At 41.2% G+C, this 20,953-nt stretch overlaps 1 protein-coding gene across 3 annotated transcripts in view, besides 1 other annotated feature; it reads right to left on the reverse strand.

The window, feature by feature from the left end:
* The window catches only part of FAM210A (family with sequence similarity 210 member A), a 63,212-nt gene that overhangs the window by 18,802 nt on the left and 23,457 nt on the right, over positions 1-20,953 (reverse strand). The window contains exon 2 of one of the 3 annotated variants that reach the window (NM_001098801.2): positions 5,595-5,734. The exons of the other annotated variants lie outside the window; for them this stretch is intronic. The gene's annotated coding sequence lies outside the window, so the exon portion shown is untranslated. The remainder of the gene's footprint in view (positions 1-5,594; positions 5,735-20,953) is intronic. 3 annotated transcript variants of the gene reach the window in all.
* Positions 6,100-6,645: an enhancer, noted in NCBI's record as "H3K27ac-H3K4me1 hESC enhancer chr18:13688247-13688792 (GRCh37/hg19 assembly coordinates)". NCBI's record gives its function as "activates a minimal SCP1, AML or CMV promoter by ChIP-STARR-seq in naive H9 embryonic stem cells {active_cell/tissue: H9 hESC(naive)}" and the evidence as "EXISTENCE:reporter gene assay evidence [ECO:0000049][PMID:30033119]".

The following is a 20,953-nucleotide window of genomic DNA, read 5'->3' on the forward strand; positions in this document are numbered from 1 at the left end:
TCCATTTTAAATCAATTCATTTGAAAATCAATCATTAACCATTAGGAAGTAAAAAGACAGACACTGCTACATAATCCACAAAAACTGATGTTAGGGTATAGAGTTTAAGCACAGTGTAATTTTAAAATCTCATAAAGGCCAGGTGTGGTTACTCATACCTGTAACCCCAGCACTTTGGGAGGCCAAGGCGGGTGGATCACCTGAGATCAGGAGTTCCGAGACCAGCCTGGCCAACATGGCAAAACCCCATCTCCACTAAAAATACAAAAATTAGCCAGGTGTGGTGGTGGGCACCTGTAATTCCAGCTACTCAGGAGGCTGAGGCAGAAGAATCACTTAAACCCGGGAAGCGGAGGGTGCAGTGATCTGAGATCGGGCCACTGCCCTCCAACCTGGGTGACACAGCAAGACTCCAGCTCAGAAAAATAAAATAAAATAAGCCAGGTGAGGTGGCCCACGCCTGTAATCCCAGAATTTTGGGAGTCTGAGGCAGGCGGATCGCTTGAGGTCAGGAGTTCGAGACCAGCCTGGCCAACATGGCAAAACCCTGTCTCTACTAAAAATACAAAAATTAGCCGGGAATGGTGGTGTGTGCCTGTAATTCCAGCTACTCGGGAGGCTGAGGCATGAGAATTGCTTGAACCCAGGAGGTGGAGATTGCAGTGAGTTGAGATCATGCCACTGTACTCCAGCCTGGGGGACAGAGCAAGACTCCGTTTCAAAAATAAAATAAAATAATAAAAATCTCATAAAACACACCATTTAAATATGATATGGTAAACTAGTCCAGCTGACACCATGGGGAATAATGTTTTGAGGCCTCTTGTTCTATAGAAGCAGTGTAGTATAGTGGGGGAAAAAATAAGATCTGGGTTCTGATGCTTTGGGGATATAATTCCACATAATTCCCTTTCAGGAACCAAGCCCATGTCCACTACTAAAATGAAGATGACTTTACAGGATTGTCACCAGGAATTACATAAAATTTCTGATGTAAAGACACTTTTGTAAACTAATGAGCATCATAAATGTTATTTATGATTACAAATGTTAAAATCTGATGAATTGTTGATATTAGTATTATTTACACTATAATGCCTTCGGACTAAGTTATCAAGTTATAAATCACTTACGTTATTGAATGGCGAGAAGAATTGCCTGGTATTTATTTTCTTCCCCACCCCCATATCAATGGTGGAGAGAAAAAAAGTGTAGAGTGATGTCTCACTATTTGATCTGGCATCAGCATAGAACAAAGATTTACAAGATGGCGAGACACAGTGGCTTCGGCTTGTGGTTCCAGCTACTCGGGAGGCTGAGATGGGAGGACACTTGAGCCCAGGTATTTGAGGCTGTAATGCATTTGTGAACAGCTACTCCACTCCAGCCTGGACAATACAGCAAGACTGCAAGCCTTTTTTTTTTTTTTTTTTAAGAATTATAGAGACTTCCAGATAATTACTTAGCCTCTCTAGACAAAGGTTCTCCCAGTGGTAAATGTAATTATAGTAGCCATTACCATATAGTCAATCAGTCCCCTTCCTTCAACATCAGGTGGTACCACACATGCCTTCCCACTCCCAATGCCAGCTCTACCTTACTACTAACATGTTGAGAACAGACACTTTAACTATATCCTAAGTAACAGACAGTGAGATCTGAATTAGCACCCCTATAAATGAGCACTGCAATAAATACAGATACTCCATCTTACACGAATATTCTTTATCTGGTGTACAAAGTTGACTGGCAAAACAAAAACTGTCATCATATAAAAACATTCATTAGTAATTATCCACCTACAAAAATTAATCCCCTGACTCATCCCTCCCAAATGAATAATTAACATCAGCTCCTAACAGACTCTCACAGATAATCCAACAACAGTACAAATGAGTTGATAAGGGAAACTGCAAATCTTGCAAAATAAATAGGCTCCCAAGAAGTCTTTTAAAAAGTGATACTGGGCTGGGAGCGGTGGCTCACGCCTGTAATCTCAGTACTTTGGGATGCCGAGGCAGGCACATCACCTGGTGAGGAGTTCGAGACCAGTCTGGCCAACATGGTGAAACCCCATCTCTCCTAAAAATATAAAAAAAAATTAGCCGGGCATGGTGGTGCACGCCTGTAATCCCAGCTATTTGGGAGGCTGAGGCAGGAGAATCATTTGAACCCCAGAGGTGGAGGCTGCAGTGACCCGAGGTCGCGCCACTGCACTCCAGCCTGGGCAACAGAGTGAGACTCGTCTCAAAAAAAGAAAAAAAAAAGTGATACTGGAGATTAATTTCAGACAAAGCAGACTGCAAACATTCTTTGATTATAAGAGTTAAAGAGGGGCACTGTATAATAACAAGAATGAAAAGAAGACATAACAATCCTAAACACGTATATACCTAACGAGAGGATCAAAATAAATGAGGTGAAAACTACAGAACAGAAAGGAGGAAAGAAATTCACTCTTAGAGACGTCAACACTCCGGTCAACAACCTTGATAAACCCAGCAGGCAGAATGTCTGTAAGGATAGAGTTAAACTAAACAACAATGTTAATCAATTTGATCTAACTGACATTTATAGAATACTCCATTCAACAACAGCAGAATACACATTCCACTCAAGTTCACATGGAACATTCAACAAGCAGACCCCATGCTGGGCCATTAAATATACTGTAACAAATTCTAAAAAATGAAAATCATGCAAAGTTATGTTCTCAAACTAAAAGAGATACTAGAAACCATTAACATAAAGATAGCCGGGAACTCCCCCCACTCCCAATTATGTGGAATTTAAACAACATACTTCTAAAAAAAAATCTTCAAACTTCTAAAAAGAAATTTAAAAATATTTTGAAGTAATTGAAAAAAATACAACTTAACAAAATCTGTGGGATGCAGCAAAGCAGTGCTTTGAGGACTAAACTTTGACCTTTTTCCTCTTGTCCAAATTCCTATCTAAGGGGTCTGGGGAGTCACACCCTGCAAACCATGAAATTCCATCAGAGGGGTTTTATTTAACCCTATATAAATGGCTACTTTCCAACTTGACTCTGGCATAACATCACATGACAGATAGAGAAGGAAATCAAAATATCTTACCCCAAAACACGTTTCTCTGCCATATTTTGAAATGACCCTGCAAAGCCATTTTTTTTTTTTTTTGGTGGAGAAAAACTGTATTTGTAAAGACTCTATTAACATAATCAGATCCCTGCTTCCAGGTCCTCTCAATCCTGAAGCGGTTAACTGAGAGTCTAGCACCTTTTAAAGGTCCGAATAGGAAACATTTGCCATCTATTGTCTCTAAGGACGGCCACCTTTGAGACTTCATCTATGTATTAAGAACCTTGGTATCCACAACCCCTTATCTTAATTCAGACACTCTTTTCTATTGATTCCAGGTCTTTAGATAATAACTCTTCCAACCAATTGCCAATCAGAAAATCTTTTAATCCAGTTATGACCCATATGCCCCCACTTTGAATTGTCCTGCTTTTCTAGGTGGAACCAATGTCTGTGTATACCCTACATATACTGACTGATGTCTTATGCCTCCCTAAAACGTTTAAAGCCAAGCTGTAACCCAACTACCTTAGGCACTTGTTCTCAGAACTTCTTGAGACTGCCTCAGACCCTGGTCACTCATTTGGTTCAAAATAAACCTCCTTAAACATTTCACAGAGTTTGACTCTTTTATCAACAGTTTACAGGAGGAATGCACATATTAGAAAAGAAGTAAGATCTAAACTCAATAAGCTAAGTTACCTCCTTAAGAAACTAGAAAAGAGGAGCAAGCAGAAAGAATCAATAAAAATCAGAGCAGAAAGCAACGAACATGAGGAAAAGAAAACAAAAAATATCAACAAAACCAAAACCTAGTTCTTTGGGGAAAAAATGAATAAAATTCATAAATCTCTAGCCAAGATAAACTAAGAGAGAAAACAAATGACCAATATTAGAAATAAAAGAGGAGTCATAACAACTGATCCCACGGATATTAAAAAAGCAATAAAGGAATACTATGAATAACTTTAACTCTATGCCTGTGAGAAAAGATCTTATCTGAGGAATTCAAGTCTTTTTAACCATCAGGCCCAAAGAGACATTAAAATGAGACCGAAATCACGCCCCACCTCCCCTCACCAACCCACCTCCTCTGAGCTGTGTATTCACCTCTTGAAACTGCTTGTTATTGCCATAAGTAACTATGAATTAACCTAATAATGCTATAATTCACAATCTATAGCTTAACGTATAGCCAATAACTCAATGCTACGTCTGTAAACCAGTGAGAATTCCTGACAAACAACTCTTTATTAGTTCATTCCCTGTCCCCCACAATTTTGCCTTTAAAAATCCACTTACTTATAACTGCTGCTAGTAAGTGTGTATATTCAGGGCAACTTGACTCTATGCTCCTGGGTTGCAATCCTTAGGCTTTGCCCAAATAAACTCTTTACTTACAATAATTTTGCTTCAGCTTGTTTCAGGTTGACACCCACAAATTATCAAACTTAGATGAAATGGACCAAGTCCTCAAAAAGACAAACTGCCAAAACCCACACAAGGAGAAATAAAAGACTTTACTAACCCTATATTCATTATTCATTAAAGAAATGGAATCAAAAATTAATATCCTTTCCAAAAACAAACAAACAAAAAAAGATCCCAGGCTGAGGTTGATTAGTGAATTCTACCAAACATTTAAGGAAAAAATAATACAATTCAGAAAACAGAGGCAGAGAAGACTAACTCATTCCATGAGGCCAAAAGTGGCCCTAATACCAAAACCAGCTACATATAATCCAAGAAAGGAAAACTACAGACTAATACTTCTTATCAACATAGAAAGTAAAAATCCTCAACAAAATATTAGCAAGTCAAATCCAGCAATGTCTAAAAACTATCATACACCCAGACCCAGTGGGATTTAATCCAGATATGCAAAGGTATATCTAAGAATCAACTTAAAGGTATATTTAAGAATCAGCTGGGAATAAAAATGAAATTGTAATCTCCCAAATGACTGAATGGACCTCTCTTGGCCAAGGGGACCCTGGTGAAACCTTGGAAGCTGAGTTCAGGTCACACGCCTGTTACCAGTAGTTAGACAGGTATGGCGGGGGCAGGAGAGGGCTCTTTCCCACCCACTAGAGATGTCAGGTGATGGTTCAGCAATTATCACACTACCTTTCTAAAAGTGATAAATTGGCAGCAGGGGCCAGAGAGAGGCCATTTCCTGATGGCCCACACCTGTTACACTAAAGTGTTAATTGAATGAAGGCACCAGGGAGAAGCAAAAAGGGCTTCCAACAAAATCTCAGGTATTGGACGAGTGAGCCGGGCACATGCATTAAGAGACAAAATGGCAGAGTATGACCTTCCAGGGGCACTCCACAAGAAAAGGGAAAAAAGCCTCAGATGGACGTGCATACAACTTCCTAAACACACTGCTCGTGCTCACTTCCCAAGTGTAAGGAGGGCACTGTACATGCAGGTAGCCCACCCTAAGGAGAATCATGGGAAAAGTGTGCAAGACACTGGAAGTGGGTCAGCCTATAAAGTCCTAGGATCATGGTTAAACACTGCACTTACCCTTCACATGCCCGCTTGGGTCTTTCCCAAGCATACTTTCTTTCTTGTTCTACAGCTTTTTTGAAAAATCTTCCACTACTTCTCTGAAACTTGCCTCGGTCTCTTTTTCTTCCTTACGCCCATCAGTCAAATTCTTTCTTCTGAGGAGGCAAGAAATGAGATTGCTGCAGACCCGCATGAATTGGCCACTGGTAACTTTTGGATACCTCCCACCAGTAACAAACCCTTCAATATACCCCATCTCATTAACCTCCATTAGGCTTTCTTCCCTAGGAGATAAACAGAAACCGGCTCTCCAAAAGACTCCACACTGATAATGTCGATTACTAGCTTATCTTCCCATGTACAGAACAAAGACAAGATGAGATTAATTATTCTGATACAATGATAGGGACAGGAGGCAGAGAAATTCTAGGCAGACAGGGACAGGTCCCTGGCAAAACCCCACCTTTGAGCAGGAAGCCTGAAACCCACAGCCCAAAGTGAGAACTTCCAAACGTGTGTGCCCGCTCTCTCCCAATTGGTTCTTTCTGAATGTCTTTTTACCAATCGAATGTTGTCTTTTCCAAAACTACCTACAGCTCGGCCCCATCCTGTGCCTACAAAGACTCAGACTCAGCTGACAGAGGGGAGAAGTGGCTGGACGTCAGGAAAAAACAGCTGGACATCAAGAGAGGCACCTTGACTTCAGAGACGATGGCTGCATGAGGCAGAGAGGCAATTAATTTCAGGCTGCCCTTCTCAGCCCCTTTCCAGCTCCTCTCCCCACTGAAAGCAGCTTTCATCACTCAATAAAATTCTCCATATTCATTATCCTTCAATCGTCTGCATGACCTCATTCCTCTTGGGCACTGGACAAGAATTCAGGAGGTGCCAAGTGTGGGTGCCCAAAAAGGTTGTCACTCTGGCTCTTTGCCCTCACTGGCGGAGAGCAGCCACCCCACGTGACGAGCCAAAGGGTCCACTGAGCGGATAACGCTGCTGTCTGTAGATGGCGGAGCTAAGGCAGCACTGTATCATGGCCTCTAGGGCCTTGGGGTTGCAGGCACCCCCACCTAGATGCTACCACATGGCCTGCACGGAGTTCGCTCCAGCTGGTGCTAAAGCAGCCGGTTCCTGCACTCACTTGCCTGCGTGCTTTCTCCTGTGATGGGTGGAGCACAGCAGACCTGAGTGAGCAGAGTTTGCTCCTGCTGGCACCAAAGTGGCTGGCCAGTTCCCATGCTCATTTGCTCACATGCTCCCTCCCGTGAGGGGTTGAGCGGGGCAGGCCAAGTAAACAGGGCACCCCTGTCGCGAGTCCTGTGAAGGGGTCAAGAAAATATCCTGCATCACTTCCTTCATCCCTCCCTGAGGCATCTGCTTCCTCTGTCCCCTTTTCCTTCAGAGGTTCACCTTATCTTGTGTAAAACGTACATCTACTGGGCACTAACTAAAACCTCACAAATATGCAAGTATTCCTGTCACTAAACCTCCTGAGAACCAAAAAATCAGCCACAGATGTGTCTGTAACTTGTGTTTTTTCTGGGCACGCCTTCGAGATGGCCCAATAAGCCTCCACTGACTGTGACACCTACCTCAGTCACTCATTTTGGTTATCACAATCAATGTAACCCACCATATCAACAGGCTAAAGAAATCATATGATCATATGAATTGGTGGGGCAGCAAAAGCCTGACAAAATCTAACACCTATTCCCAACACCTATTCATGATTAAAAACAAATTTCTCAGCAAACTTGGAGGGGAACTTCTTCAACCTGATAAAGAACATGTACAACAAACCTATTGCTAAACTCATCCATACTTAATGGTGGGAGGCTGGACGCTCGCCCCCGTGGCTGGGAACAAGGCAAAGATGACAGACAACCTCTACTGCCACCGTGATTCAACATCATACTGCAATTCCCAGCTAGTGCAACAAGGCAAGAAAAAAAATTTAAAAAGTATACCGATTGGAAAGGAAGATGTAAAACTTTTTATTGCATATGATATGATTGTTTTTGTAGAATATCCAAAAGAATCTATTAAAAGACTCCTAGAAGTAATTAATTGGCTGTGGTTCCAAGACGGCCAAATAGGAACAGCTCCAGTCTGCAGCTCCCAGCATGAGTGACGCAGAAGACGGGTGATTTCTGCATTTCCAACTGAGGTACCGGGTTCATCTCACTGGGGCTTGTCAGACAGTGGGTGCAGCCCACGGAACAGGGCAGGGCATCACCTCACCTGGGAAGTGCAATGGGTCAGGGAATTCCCTTTCCTAGCAAAGGGAAGCCGTGACAGACGGTACGTGGAAAATCGGGACTCTCCCACCCTAATACTGCGCTTTTCCAACGGCCTTAGCAAACAGCACACCAGATTATATCCCGTGCCTGGCTCAGAGGGTTGCACCCCCACGGAGCCTCGCTCACTGCTAGCACAGCAGTCTGAGATCAAACTGCAAGGTGGCAGTGAGGCTGGGGGAGGGGCATCCGCCATTGCTGAGGCTTGAGTAGGAAAAGAAAGCAGCAGGGAAGCTCGAACTGGGTGGAGTCCATTGCAGCTCAAGAAGGCCTGCCTGCCTCTGTAGACACCACCTCTGAGGTCAAGGCATAGCCGAACAAAAGGCAGCAGAAACTTCTGCAGACTGAAACATCCCCATCTGACAGCTTTGAAGAGAGTAGTGGTTCTCCCAGCACGGAGTTTGAGATCTGAGAATGGACAGTCTGCCTTCTCAAGTGGGTCCCTGACCCCCGAGTAGCCTAACTGGGAGACACCTCCCAGTAGGGGCCGACTGACACCTCATACAGACGGCTGCCCCTCTGAGACAAAGCTTCCAGAGGCAGGATCAGGCAGCAACATCTGCCATTCTGCAATATTTGCTGTTCTGCAGCCTCTGCTGGTGATACCCAGGCAAATAGGGTCTGGAGTGGACCTCCAGCAAACTCCAACAGACCTGCAGCTAAGGGTTCTGACTGTTAGAAGGAAAACTAACAAACAGAAAGGACATCCACACCAAAACCCCATCTGTACATCACCATCATCAAGACCAAAGGTAGATAAAACAACAAAGAAGGGGAGAAACCAGAGCAGAAAAGCTGAAAATACTCATCAGAGCACCTCTTCTCCTCCAAGGGAACACAGCTCCTCACCAGCAACAGGACAAAGCTGGACGGAGAATGACTTTGACAAGTTGAGAAGAAGGCTTCAGACGATCGGTAATAACAAACTTCTCCAAGCTAAAGGAAGATGTTCGAACCCATCGCAAAGAAGCTAAAAACCTTGAAAAAAGATTAGACAAATGGCTAACTAGAATAAACAGTGAAGAGAAGTCCTTAAATGACCCGATGGAGCTGAAAACCATAGCACGAGAACTACGTGACGTGTGCAAAAGCTTCAGTAACCAATTTGATCAAGTGGAAGAAAGGGTATCAGTGATTGAAGATCAAATGAATGAAATGAAGCAAGAAGAGAAGTTTAGAGAAAAAAGAATACAAAGACATGAAGAAATCCTCCAAGAAATATGGAACTATGTGAAAAGACCAAATCTACGTCTGATTGGTGTACCTGAAAGTGATGGGGAGAATGAAACCAAGTGGGAAAACATTCTTCAGGATATTATCGAGGAGAACTTCCCCAGCCTAGCAAGGCAAGCCAACATTCAAATTCAGGAAATACAGAGAACGCCACAAAGATACTCCACAAGAAGAGCAACTCTGAGACACATAATTGTCAGATTCGCCAAAGTTGAAATGAAGGAAAAAACGTTAAGGGCAGCCAGAGAGAAAGACTGGGTTACCCACAAAGGGAAGCCCATCAGACTAACAGCTGATCTCTCAGCAGAAACTCTACAAGCCAGAAGAGAGTGGGGGTCAATATTCAACATTCTTAAAAGAATTTTCAACCCAGAATTTCATATCCAGCCAAACTAAGCTTCATAAGTGAAGGAGAAATAAAATACTTTACAGACAAGCAAATGCTGAGAGATTTTGTCACCACCAGGCCTGCCTTACAAGAGCTCCTGAAGGAGGCACTAAACATGGAAAGGAACAACCAGTACCAGCCACTGCAAAAACATGCCAAATTATAAAGACCATCGAGGCTAGGAAGAAACTGCATCAACTAATGAGCAAAATAACCAGCTAACATCATAATAACAGGATCAAATTCACACATAACAATATTAACCTTAAATGTAAATGAACTAAATGCTCCAGTTAAAAAACACAGACTGGCAAATTGGATAAAGAGTCAAGACCCATCAGTGTGCTGTATTCAGGAGACCCATCTCACATGCAGAGACACACACAGACTCAAAATAAAGGGATGGAGGAAGATATACTAAGCAAATGGAAAACAAAAAAAAAGGCAGGGGTTGCAATCCTAGTCTCTGATTGACTTTAAACCAACAAAGATCAAAAGAGACAAAGAAGGGCATTACATAATGGTAAAGGGATCAATTCAACAAGAAGAGCTAACTCTCCTAAATATATATGCACCCAATACAGGAGCACTCAGATTCATAAAGCAAGTCCTTAGAGACCTACAAAGAGACTTAGACTCCTACACAATAATAATGGGAGATTTTAACACCCCACTGTCAACATTAGACAGATCAATGAGACAGAAAGTTAACAAGGATATCCAGGACTTGAACTCAGCTCTGCACCCACCCAATGGACCTAATAGACATCTACAGAACTCTCCACCCCAAATCAACAGAATATACATTCTTCTCAGCACCACATCACACTTATTCCAAAACTGACCACATAGTTGGAAGTAAAGCACTCCTCAGCAAATGTAAAAGAACAGAAATTATAACAAACTGTCTCTCAGACCACAGTGCAATCAAACTAGAACTCAGGATTAAGAAACTCACTCAAAACTGCTCAACTACACGGACAACTTGCTCCTGAATGACTACTGGATACATAACCAAATGAAGGCAGAAATAAAGATGTTCTTTGAAACCAATGAGAACAAAGACACAACATACCAGAATCTCTGGGACACAGTTAAATCAGTGTGTAGAGGGAAATTTATACACTAAATGCCCACAAGAGAAAGCAGGAAAGATCTAAAATTGACACCCTAACATCACAATTAAAAGAACTAGAGAAGCAAGAGCAAACACATTCAAAAGCTAGCAGAAGGCAAGAAATAACTAAGATCAGAGCAGAACTGAAGGAGATAGAGACACAAAAAACCCTTCAAAAAAATCAATGAATCCAGGAGCTGGTTTTTTGGAAAGATCAGCAAAATTGATAGACTGCTAGCAAGACTAATAAAGAAGAAAAGAGAGAAGCATCAAATAGACACAATAAAAAATGATAAAGGGGATATCACCACTGATCCCACAGAAATACAAACTACCATCGGAGAATACTATAAACACCTCTACACAAATAAACTAGAAAATCTAGAAGAAATGGATAAATTCCTCGACACATACACCCTCCCAAGACTAAACCAGGAAGACACTGAATCCCTGAATAGACCAATAACAGGCTCTGAAATTGAGGCAATAATAGCCCACCAACCAAAAAAAGTCCAGGACCAGACAGATTCACAGCCAAATTCTACCAGAGGTACAAAGAGGAGCTGGTACCATTCCTTCTGAAACTATTCCAATCAACAGAAAAAGAGGGAATCCTCCCTAACTCATTTTATGAGGCCAACATCATCCTGATACCAAAGCCTGGCACAGACACAACCAAAAAAGAGAATTTTAGACCAATATCCCTGATGAACATCGATGGAAAAGTCCTCAATAAAATACTGGCAAACCAAATCCAGCAGCACATCAAAAAGCTCATCCACCAGGATCAAGTTGGCTTCATACCTGGGATGCAAGGCTGGTTCAACATACGCAAATCAATAAACATAATCCATCATATAAACAGAACCAAAGACAAAAACCACATGATTATCTCAATAGATGCAGAAAAGGCCTTTGACAAAATTCAACAGCCCTTCATGCTAAAAACTCTCAATGAACTAGGTATTGATGGGCTGTATCTCAAAATAATAAGAGCTATTTATGACAATATCTACTGAATGAGCAAAAACTGGAAGCATTCCCTTTGAAAAGTGGCGCAAGACAGGGATGCCCTCTCTCACCACTCCTATTCAGCATAGTGTTGGAAGTTCTGGCCAGGGCAGTCAGGCAAGAGAAATAAATAAAGGGTATTCAATTAGGAAAAGAGGAAGTTAAATTCTCCCTGTTTGCAGATGACATGATTGTAGATTTAGAAAACCCCATCGTCTCAGCCCAAAATCTCCTTAAACCTGATAAGCAACTTCTGCAGGATACAAAATCAATGTGCAAAAATCACAAGCATTCCTATACACCAATAACAGACAAACAGAATGCCAAATCATGAGTGAACTTCCATTCACAATTGCTTCAAAGAGAATAAAATACCTAGGAATCCAACTTACAAGGGATGTGAAGGACCTCTTCAAGGAGAACTACAAACCACTGCTTAACGAAATAAAAGAGGACACAAACAAATGGAGGAACATTCCATGCTTACGGATAGGAAGAATCGTTGTGAAAATGGCCATACTGCCCAAGGTAATTTATAGATTCAATGCCATCAAGCTACCAATGACTTTCTTCACAGAATTGGAAAAAACTACTTTAAAGTTCATATGGAACCAAAAAAGAGTCCGCATTGCTAAGACAATCCTAAGCCAAAAGAACAAAGCTAGAGGCATCATGCTACCTGACTTCAAACTATACTACAAGGCTACAGTAACCAAAACAGCATGGTACTGGTACCAAAACAGAGATATTGACCAATGGAACAGAATAGAGCCCTTGGAAATAATACCACATATCTACAACCACCTGATCTTTGACAAACCTGACAAAAACTAGAAATGGGGAAAGGATTCCCTATTTAATAAATGGTGCTGGGAAAACTGGCTAGCCATATGTAGAAAGCTGAAACTGGATCCCTTCCTTACACCTTATATGAAAATTAATTCAAGATGGATTACAGACTTAAATGTTAGACCTAAAACCATAAAAACCCTAGAAGAAAACCTAGGCAATGCCATTCAGGACATAGGCATGGGCAAGGACTTCATCACTAAAACACCAAAAGCAATGGCAACAAAAGCCAAAATTGATAAATGGGATCTAATTAAACTAAAGAGCTTCTGCACAGCAAAAGAAACTACCATCAGAGTGAGCAGGCAACCTACAGAATGGGAGAAAACTTTTATAATCTACCCATCTGACAAAGGGCTAATATCCAGATTCTACAAAGAACTTAAACAAACTTACAAGAAAAAATCAACCCCATCAAAAAGTGGGCAAAGGATATGAAAAGACACTTCTAAAAAGAAGACATTTATGCAGCCAACAGACACATGAAAAAATGCTCATCATCACTGGCCATCAGAGAAATGCAAATCAAAACCACAATGAGATACCATCTCACGCCAGTTAGAATGGCGATCATTAAAAAGTCAGGAAACAACAGATGCTGGAGAGGATGTGGAGAAATAGGAACACTTTGACACTGTTGGTGGGACTGTAAACTAGTTCAACCATTGTGGAAGACAGTGTGGCGATTCCTCAAGGATCTAGGACTATAAATACCATTTGACCCAGCCATCCCATTACTGGGCATATACCCAAAGGATTATAAATCATGCTGCTATAAAGACACATGCACACGTATGTTTATTGTGGCGCTATTCACAATAGCAAAGACTTGGGACCAACCCAAATGTCCATCAACGATAGACTGGATTAAGAAAATGTGGCACATATACACCATGGAATACTATGCAGCCATAAAAAAGGATGAGTTAACGTCCTTTGTAGGGACATGGATGAAGCTGGAAACCATCATTCTGAGTAAACTATTGCAAGGACAGAAAACCAAACATCACATGTTCTCACTCATAGGTGGGAACTGAACAATGAGAACACTTGGACACAGGGTAGGGAACATCACACACCAGGGCCTGCGGTGGGTGGGGGGAGGGGGAAGGATAGCATTAGGAGATATACCTAATGTAAATGACGAGTTAATGGGTGCAGCACACCAACATGGCACATGTATACATATGTAACAAACCGGCACGTTGTGCACATGTACCCTAGAACTTAAAGTATATATATATAAAAAGACTCCTGGAACTAATATGCAAGTACAGTGATTTTATAAGATCAAATATATAAAAGTTAACTGTCTTTATAGATACTAGCAATGATACATAAGAATTTGAAGTTAAAAAATACCATTTATATAATAATATACTCTCCCAAAATAGGTAGTATAAACAACATATGTATGAGACCTATATAAGGAAAACCTCAAAACTCTGAAAGAAATCAAAGGTCTAAATAAATGGAGAGATAGTCTACATTCATAGATAGACTCATTATTGTTAAGATAGCAGTTTTTGTCAGTATGATCTACAGATTCAACAATAATATCCGAATCAAAATCCTAGCAAACTGTTTCTTGTATCAACAACCTGATTCTGAAGTTTATATGGAAAGCCAAAATACCCAGAATAGCCAACAAAATACTGGAGAAGAACAAGGATTGACATTCATTAGCAGACTCACATTATTAGACTTCACCAAAAAGCAGGATCTATGAATGAAAAAATTGGTAAGTTGGACTTCACTAAAAAAACATCTACAACTCTGCAACACATACTGCTAGGAAAATGAAAAGACAAGTCACTAAGCAGAAAATATTGTAAAACATTTATATGATAAAGGACTTGTATCCAATACAGTCATGTATCACAGAGCTTCAGTTTCAGCCAGTGATGGACAGCATGAAAGACGGTGCCATAAGATAAAAGAGCAGAAAAATTCCTATTGCTTAATGACATCATATTCACGTGTTTGTGGTGATGATGGTGGAGGTAGAAGACAGTGATACTGATGATCCTGCCCCTGGGTAGGCCCAGGCTAATGTGTGTTTGTGCCTTCATTTTTAACAAAAAGTTTAAAAAATAAAATAAAAATGAAAATATTAATAGGCAAAAGCTTATAAGCATAAAAATAAAGGTAAGCTAAAGTCAATTTATTACTAAATAAATTTTTAAAAATAAACTCAGTGTAGTCTAAGTGTACAGTATTTACAAAGTCCACAGTAGTATACAGTTATGTCCTAGGCCTTCACATTCACTCACTGACTCACCCAGAGCAACTTCCAGTACTGCAAGCTCCAATTCATGGTAAGTACTCTGGTATAGGTGTATCATTTTTTATACTGCATTTTTACTGTAACTTTTCCCCATTTAGGTATGTTTAGACAGAAAAATATTTACATGTTACAATTGCTTACAGTATTCAGTACAGTAATGCGCTGTACAGGTTTGTGGCCTAGGAACAATAGGCTGTACCATCTAGGTTTGGGTAAGTATACCCTATGATGTTCTCACAATGACAAAATTGCCTAACTATGCATTTCTCAGACCACATCTCTGTTAAGCAACGTGTGACTGTATACAAAGAACTCTTAAAACTCAACAATAAGAAAACAACCCATTTACAAAATGGGAAAAAGATCTGAACAGAGCCCTCATTAAGATCTACAGATGGCAAAAAACACAGAAAAAGATGTTCAATGCCGCATCATTAGAAAATTGCAAATTAAAAACACTAAGACACTACTACAAACTTATTACAATGCCTAAAATCCAAAAACATTAACACCACCAAATGCTGGTGAGGATGTGAAGCAACAGGAACTCTCACTTATTGTTGGTGGGAATGCAAAATGGTGCAGCCACTTTGGAAGAGAGTTTAACAGGTTCTTAAAAAGATAAACATACTCTTACCATACAATCCAACAATTGGCCAGGCATGCTGGCACACACCTGTAATCCCAGCTACTGGAGAGGCTGAGGCACAAGAATCACTTGAACCTGGGAGGTGGATGTTGCAGCCTGGGAGACAGAGTGAGACTCTGTCTCAAAAAAAAAAAAAAAAAAAAATTCCAACAGTTAAGTTCTATTCACCCACCTGAACTGAAAACTTATGCCCCCAAAAAACTGTACATAGATGTTTAAAGCAGCTTTATTCATAATTGCCAAAACTTAGAAGCAACCAAGATGTCCTTCAATAAGTGAATGGATAAACAAATTGTGGCACCTTCATACAAACAGAACATTATTCAGTAATGTGCTATTAAGCCATGAAAACACATAGAGGAACCTTAAATGCATATTGCCAAGTCAAAGAAGCCAGCTTAAAAAGGTTATTCTGGGAAAACACACTTTCTATACTCTCACACAACACCAAAACAGTTTTTGGTCAGGTACAGTGGCTCACATCTGTAATTCCAGCTTAAGAATTAAGAACTGGCCGGGCGTGGTGGCTCACGCCTGTAATCCCAGCACTTTGGGAGGCTGAGGCAGGTGGCTCACCTGAGGTCAGGAGTTCGAGACCAGCCTGCCCAACATGGTAAAACCCTGTCCTTACTAAAAATACAAAAATTAGCTGGGCATGGTGGCGGGTGCTGCAATCCTAGCTACTCGGGAGGCTGAGGCGGAAGAATTGCTTGAACCCAGGGGGCGGAGGTTGCACTGAGCCGAGATCACACCACTGCACTCCAGCCTGGGTGACAGAGTGAGACTCCATCTCAAAAAAAAAAAAAAAAAAAAATAAGAATTAATTCAGATTAAGAATATCTAAATATCCTAGGATCCTGAGAATATCCGAGGATCCTAAGATCAAGATCCTAAAATCAAGAATTAATTCAGAGTAAGAATATCCAAATATCCTAAGATTCATTCCTTTCCACCTCTTTTTATTTACTGCAGAGACAGGTTAGTCCAAACTGCTTTTGTAAGCCCCCCCGCCATTTTGCAGACCTTGGTCAGAGTGAAACATTCCGCAGGGGTTCAGGCCATGAGAAACACCCTGCCTAGCCACCTGACCAAAAGGCACAGGAACATTTTTATCATACCATGTCAGGTAAAGGCCCAACTGAAGGAACATCCCTATCATATCTTGCTGGGCAAAGGGCACAAGGAACATCCTTGGCCAAACCGCCAGACCACAGAAACATCTTATCGATATCCTCCGGGGCAGCAAGGCATACCGCCCAGACCCCTCCCCCCGATACCTATAAGTACTCCAGCCTGTAAGCGGCAGTGAGCACTGGCATTAAACTGGTCCCCAACCTCTCAGGTTTATGCTGGACATAAATGCCTGCAGTTGCTGTAGAGCCGCCCTCTTTCTCTGTGTGTGTGTCTTTAACTCTCGTCTTCCCTTCAAATCCTAACAACAGGGACTCGCTATGTTGCCCAGGCTGGTCTCAAACTCCTGACCTCACGCAATCCCACTTCAGCCTCCCAAAGTGCTGGGATTACAGGCGTGAGCCACCGCCTGGCCTCAATCTCTTTCTTAATCATACTTTGGCTGCTGTTTTAAATCAAATTCAGTTTGCTGCTTAGAGAAAGTAAAAAGGTGTGAAAGTCTGTTGACAGTACTTTCTGGGTTCTTACTTTCCTACTCCCTAATGCACTGATGGCTCCAATTTAATTTCTACTATATAATCCATCTCCTTCAGCCTATTCTGCTTTGGGGGCTTTCTAATACCACATTTGAACCACATAAACAAGCTGAATTAAGGATGAAGCCACTGCCAAATTCTTAATTTTCAGAAAAGATTAAATTATGCCCCCCCTAGTGAATTCCTATGGAAGTTCATTAATAATTCATTAATTTCCAGAGCAGTCTTAAATGTCAAGTGTACCACTTAAAAAAAAATCAATGATTTTTCCAAAATCACTAGATAAATCTACTCATTTATACAAAATATTTATATCTTTGTATCTTTTCAGAGGATCTAAGCCATGGTTATTATCTGTAATGGTGACATAAACCCAGAATCCACAGTTCCCTTGCATCCTTTCCTTTTCACTTCTGACAGGTTGCAGGAAGAATGGAGGCTTTGCCATCAGAAAGACCTGAGTGCTAACATTTTCTTAGCCTTCTCCTTATCAGTAAAATTAAGTTATCCTTTTATCGCGTGGTATTTATGAGATAAATGAGCTGGTTAAGTGTCTAGCACTTACTATGCTTTACCAATAATTATTAGTTCTAGCTCCCTTCTTCATCTTCTCATCTATGACCTGGTCAAACCAAGCTCATATTCTTCCTTCATCTAAACTTTTGCCATTATTTAATTTGGGTGACCATGCAAAATCCTACACTATGGGTAAAAAAACTCTTTTTCTCTCTCTACTCTCACACTCAATGTAGAATACTTCTACAACTAAATGTGAAGGAGTTTTCTCCACACATCAAGCAATACTCTAGAGGACACCAACTGGGTACCCTATAATTCAATTTAATTCTAACACTGTCTTATTTGAGTTAAGAGTCAGAATCCACAGATCAAGGGCTCAGTCCCACAAGACTACTCCTACTCCCCACTTCAGATGCAAATCACAAGTAGTAAGTTGTTACCCATACTTCTCAACAGGCTATACATTCAAGTTCCCACCTTGGGTTCAATTAATTTGATAACCCTTCCATTGGAGAAACTAATAAGATTTACAAGCCAGATTTTAGGCAGAATTATAGTTAGGACCTGACCAGGATGCATGCACTGGTGCACTCTGGCCCACTTCCCTATAGCTGCTGAGAGTCACATAGCATGCTGAACCACCTACTCCCTGCTGTTCCTATAGACAGAATCTCTGACACCGGACCTTTTAACCTAAGAATTGGTTAAGGTGTTTTCCAGATCCTGAATTCCAGCAAAACAGCTGACACCAAACTGTCTGAAGACCCCCACCAAGGAACTAACTCAGCAAAGGAATGTAGTTTCTTCATCTCCCTGTCACCAGACTTTACCTCTCACTTCTCGATTAATCAGCAATCCCCACACTTTAGCCCATCACTTGTCCAGAATCCTTAAAATCTTCATCTCCAAACCTCTCGGGAAGGCAGATTTGAAGTTCTTAAAGCAAACTAAATATGGCCTAAGAAGGACTCCATACTTCTATATTTGAGTCCTTGTGAACTGTAACCTAGCTTAAGAGGCAGACAAGACTGAAAACCAAACTTAGGAGTATGCACCTGTACAATAGCTGAGTCTTGACCAATTCCAGTGGCCAGCCATACTTCAACCACTCATAGACTGCTAAGTGTTCGAATAAGGCAAATGCCAACCTATAGCCAATCCAGCTGTTTCTATACGTTGCTTCTGATTTCCGTATATCATTTCCCTTTTTTTGTCTATAAATCTCCCACCACGTGGCTACATGGGAGTCTCTCTGAATCTGCTTTGAGCCTGGGGGCTGCCTGATTTGCAAATCATTCATTGCTCAATTAAACTCCTTTAAATGTAATCCAGCCTAAGTTTTTAACAGATGGTGTCAGAAGTGGGATCTGAAATAGAGCTTCTAATGATCTCCAGGAGCTCCGAATGAACAAGCAAGGTACCTGCTGGACCCACTTGTGTCCTTTGATCCCTCAGAGCAGCTGGGGATCATGGTAAGTTCTCTCAGATTTCGGAGCTCTACAGATTTGTGTTTTGAGCTCTTGAGTTTCTCTGAGCAAATTTCTGGTCCAAACTGGGTTTGGAAATCGCAACAGAAATCGAACTGGGTTCAGGATCAGATTAGATCTGGTAATTAACTGGTTTGGATCCAGTTAGAGGCCTCTTACATCTGACTGGGTCAGAAAGAAACTGATAGTAAATGGTAATATTGCAGGGGTTGTAAAATTTGGCTTTTAAAAATTTGCAAGGATTTTTGTGTTCTACCCCTTTGTTTCATTTTTCTTGTGTGTTTAAGTAGGGGCAAAAAAAAATCATTGGCTAAGTTAATCAAGGGAACCTGAGACTATAGCCAACATTTTAGGCAAAATAGGATCCTCAATTTCTGGAAATCTAAGTTCCTTCCAGCTTATACATTAGGCAGAGAAAGCAGCAAAGTCTTACAGAATGGCAAAATCTTACTAAAGCTAACTTACAGTAGAATGTTCTGAATAAACCACAATGCACTGAAGTGCATTTAAAAATGAGGTCTCTCAGAAATTAAATCTACTAACCTTTTAGCTTAGTTATTATCCAGATCCAAAGGAAATAGACTGCAGTACCAATTGGCTGACTTTGGATAAGTTATGGGGTACATTTTACTTGAGTAAAGGATGGAACTGGGTTAGAGGCCCTCCTGTCAGTAAAGTCTCTCTTGGATAAAAAATGGGTTAAAGATGACAGGGCCCAATCAGGGGCAAATTTGAACCTTGCCAGTTCGATAATTTGGCGCCCCCATGCAGCTGGTTGGGCAGCAACTTGCAAAATTAAGAGACTTTTACCCGTGGTTCCACAAAACAGAAAAAGATGATTTTGCTTTGTGTGGCGGCTTGGCCCCCAAGGCTGTGGTGCAGCCAGCCAGGTCACAGGGCCACTCAGAGGAAGGGAACTCAGAAGCCTGGCATGCCAGCAAAAGGGTAAGGCTTTCTTACCAGTCAGACTTCTACCTCTCTCTCCCTGTGCAAACTGGTTGAATGAATGGTAAAAATCACTATCTCTTGTAAAGTTTTGAGTAATGGGAAAAAGGATTTATGAGGCTAGTCTTAAGCTGCAGCCAATTTGGTATGCTTGCTATGTCTTCCTGTATCCTTCTGTCATAAAGACAGCTAACTTAGAACAGAACACGGGCTTGAAACCCCATAAGCCCGCTGCTCAAGACGGCCCAGCAAGCTGGTCAGTAACGAACTTTGCTGCAGGTCCCTCACACAAACAAAAAAACTGTACGAGGTCTCCATCGTGTTTTATTTCCTTCGGAGCTTGATCCTGTGACCACATGGCTACACTTACTCTTGGTCTCTGCCTTCCAGGGAACAGGAATTTTAAGGTTCATGTCACGGGTAGCTCTAAAAATCATCCTGAGTAGTTAAAAGCCTTTGCAAGCTCAAAATTAACTACTCTAGACTCCTTCTGGAAAGGGCAATGGAGGCTGCCCAGTGCTGTAGCTCAGTAGCTCATGTTTTCTCTTTCATAGTGGTGATCCGGGTCCAATACCTGGCTTAGGGAATGAGTTCTTTCCTGTTTGATATCTTCATAACTGTTACCATTTGTTGATTCTCTTCCCCTCCAGGAACTGCGGAATTCTCCTTTCTAAGAGCACCTGTGAGGTTACTTTTGATAAAGTTTAAATGCCAACAATATCAGCCATTTGGCCTGGCTAACGTTGGGTAATAGGAAATTTAAAAGGACTTTTTTAAAAAAAAGACCACTGTGGTTAAAAGTCAGCTTAATTACAAGCAGATATTCAAGCTCTAACAGCATGGGACCCCTTGGGAAAAACAGGAGGCACCAGAGACCCCATTTTGGGAAAAACTTCTGTTTTCCTCATTAAATCCCAGGAATTGG

This window comes from Homo sapiens, chromosome 18, assembly GCF_000001405.40.
Source record: "Homo sapiens chromosome 18, GRCh38.p14 Primary Assembly".
NCBI classification, from domain to species: domain Eukaryota; kingdom Metazoa; phylum Chordata; class Mammalia; order Primates; family Hominidae; genus Homo; species Homo sapiens.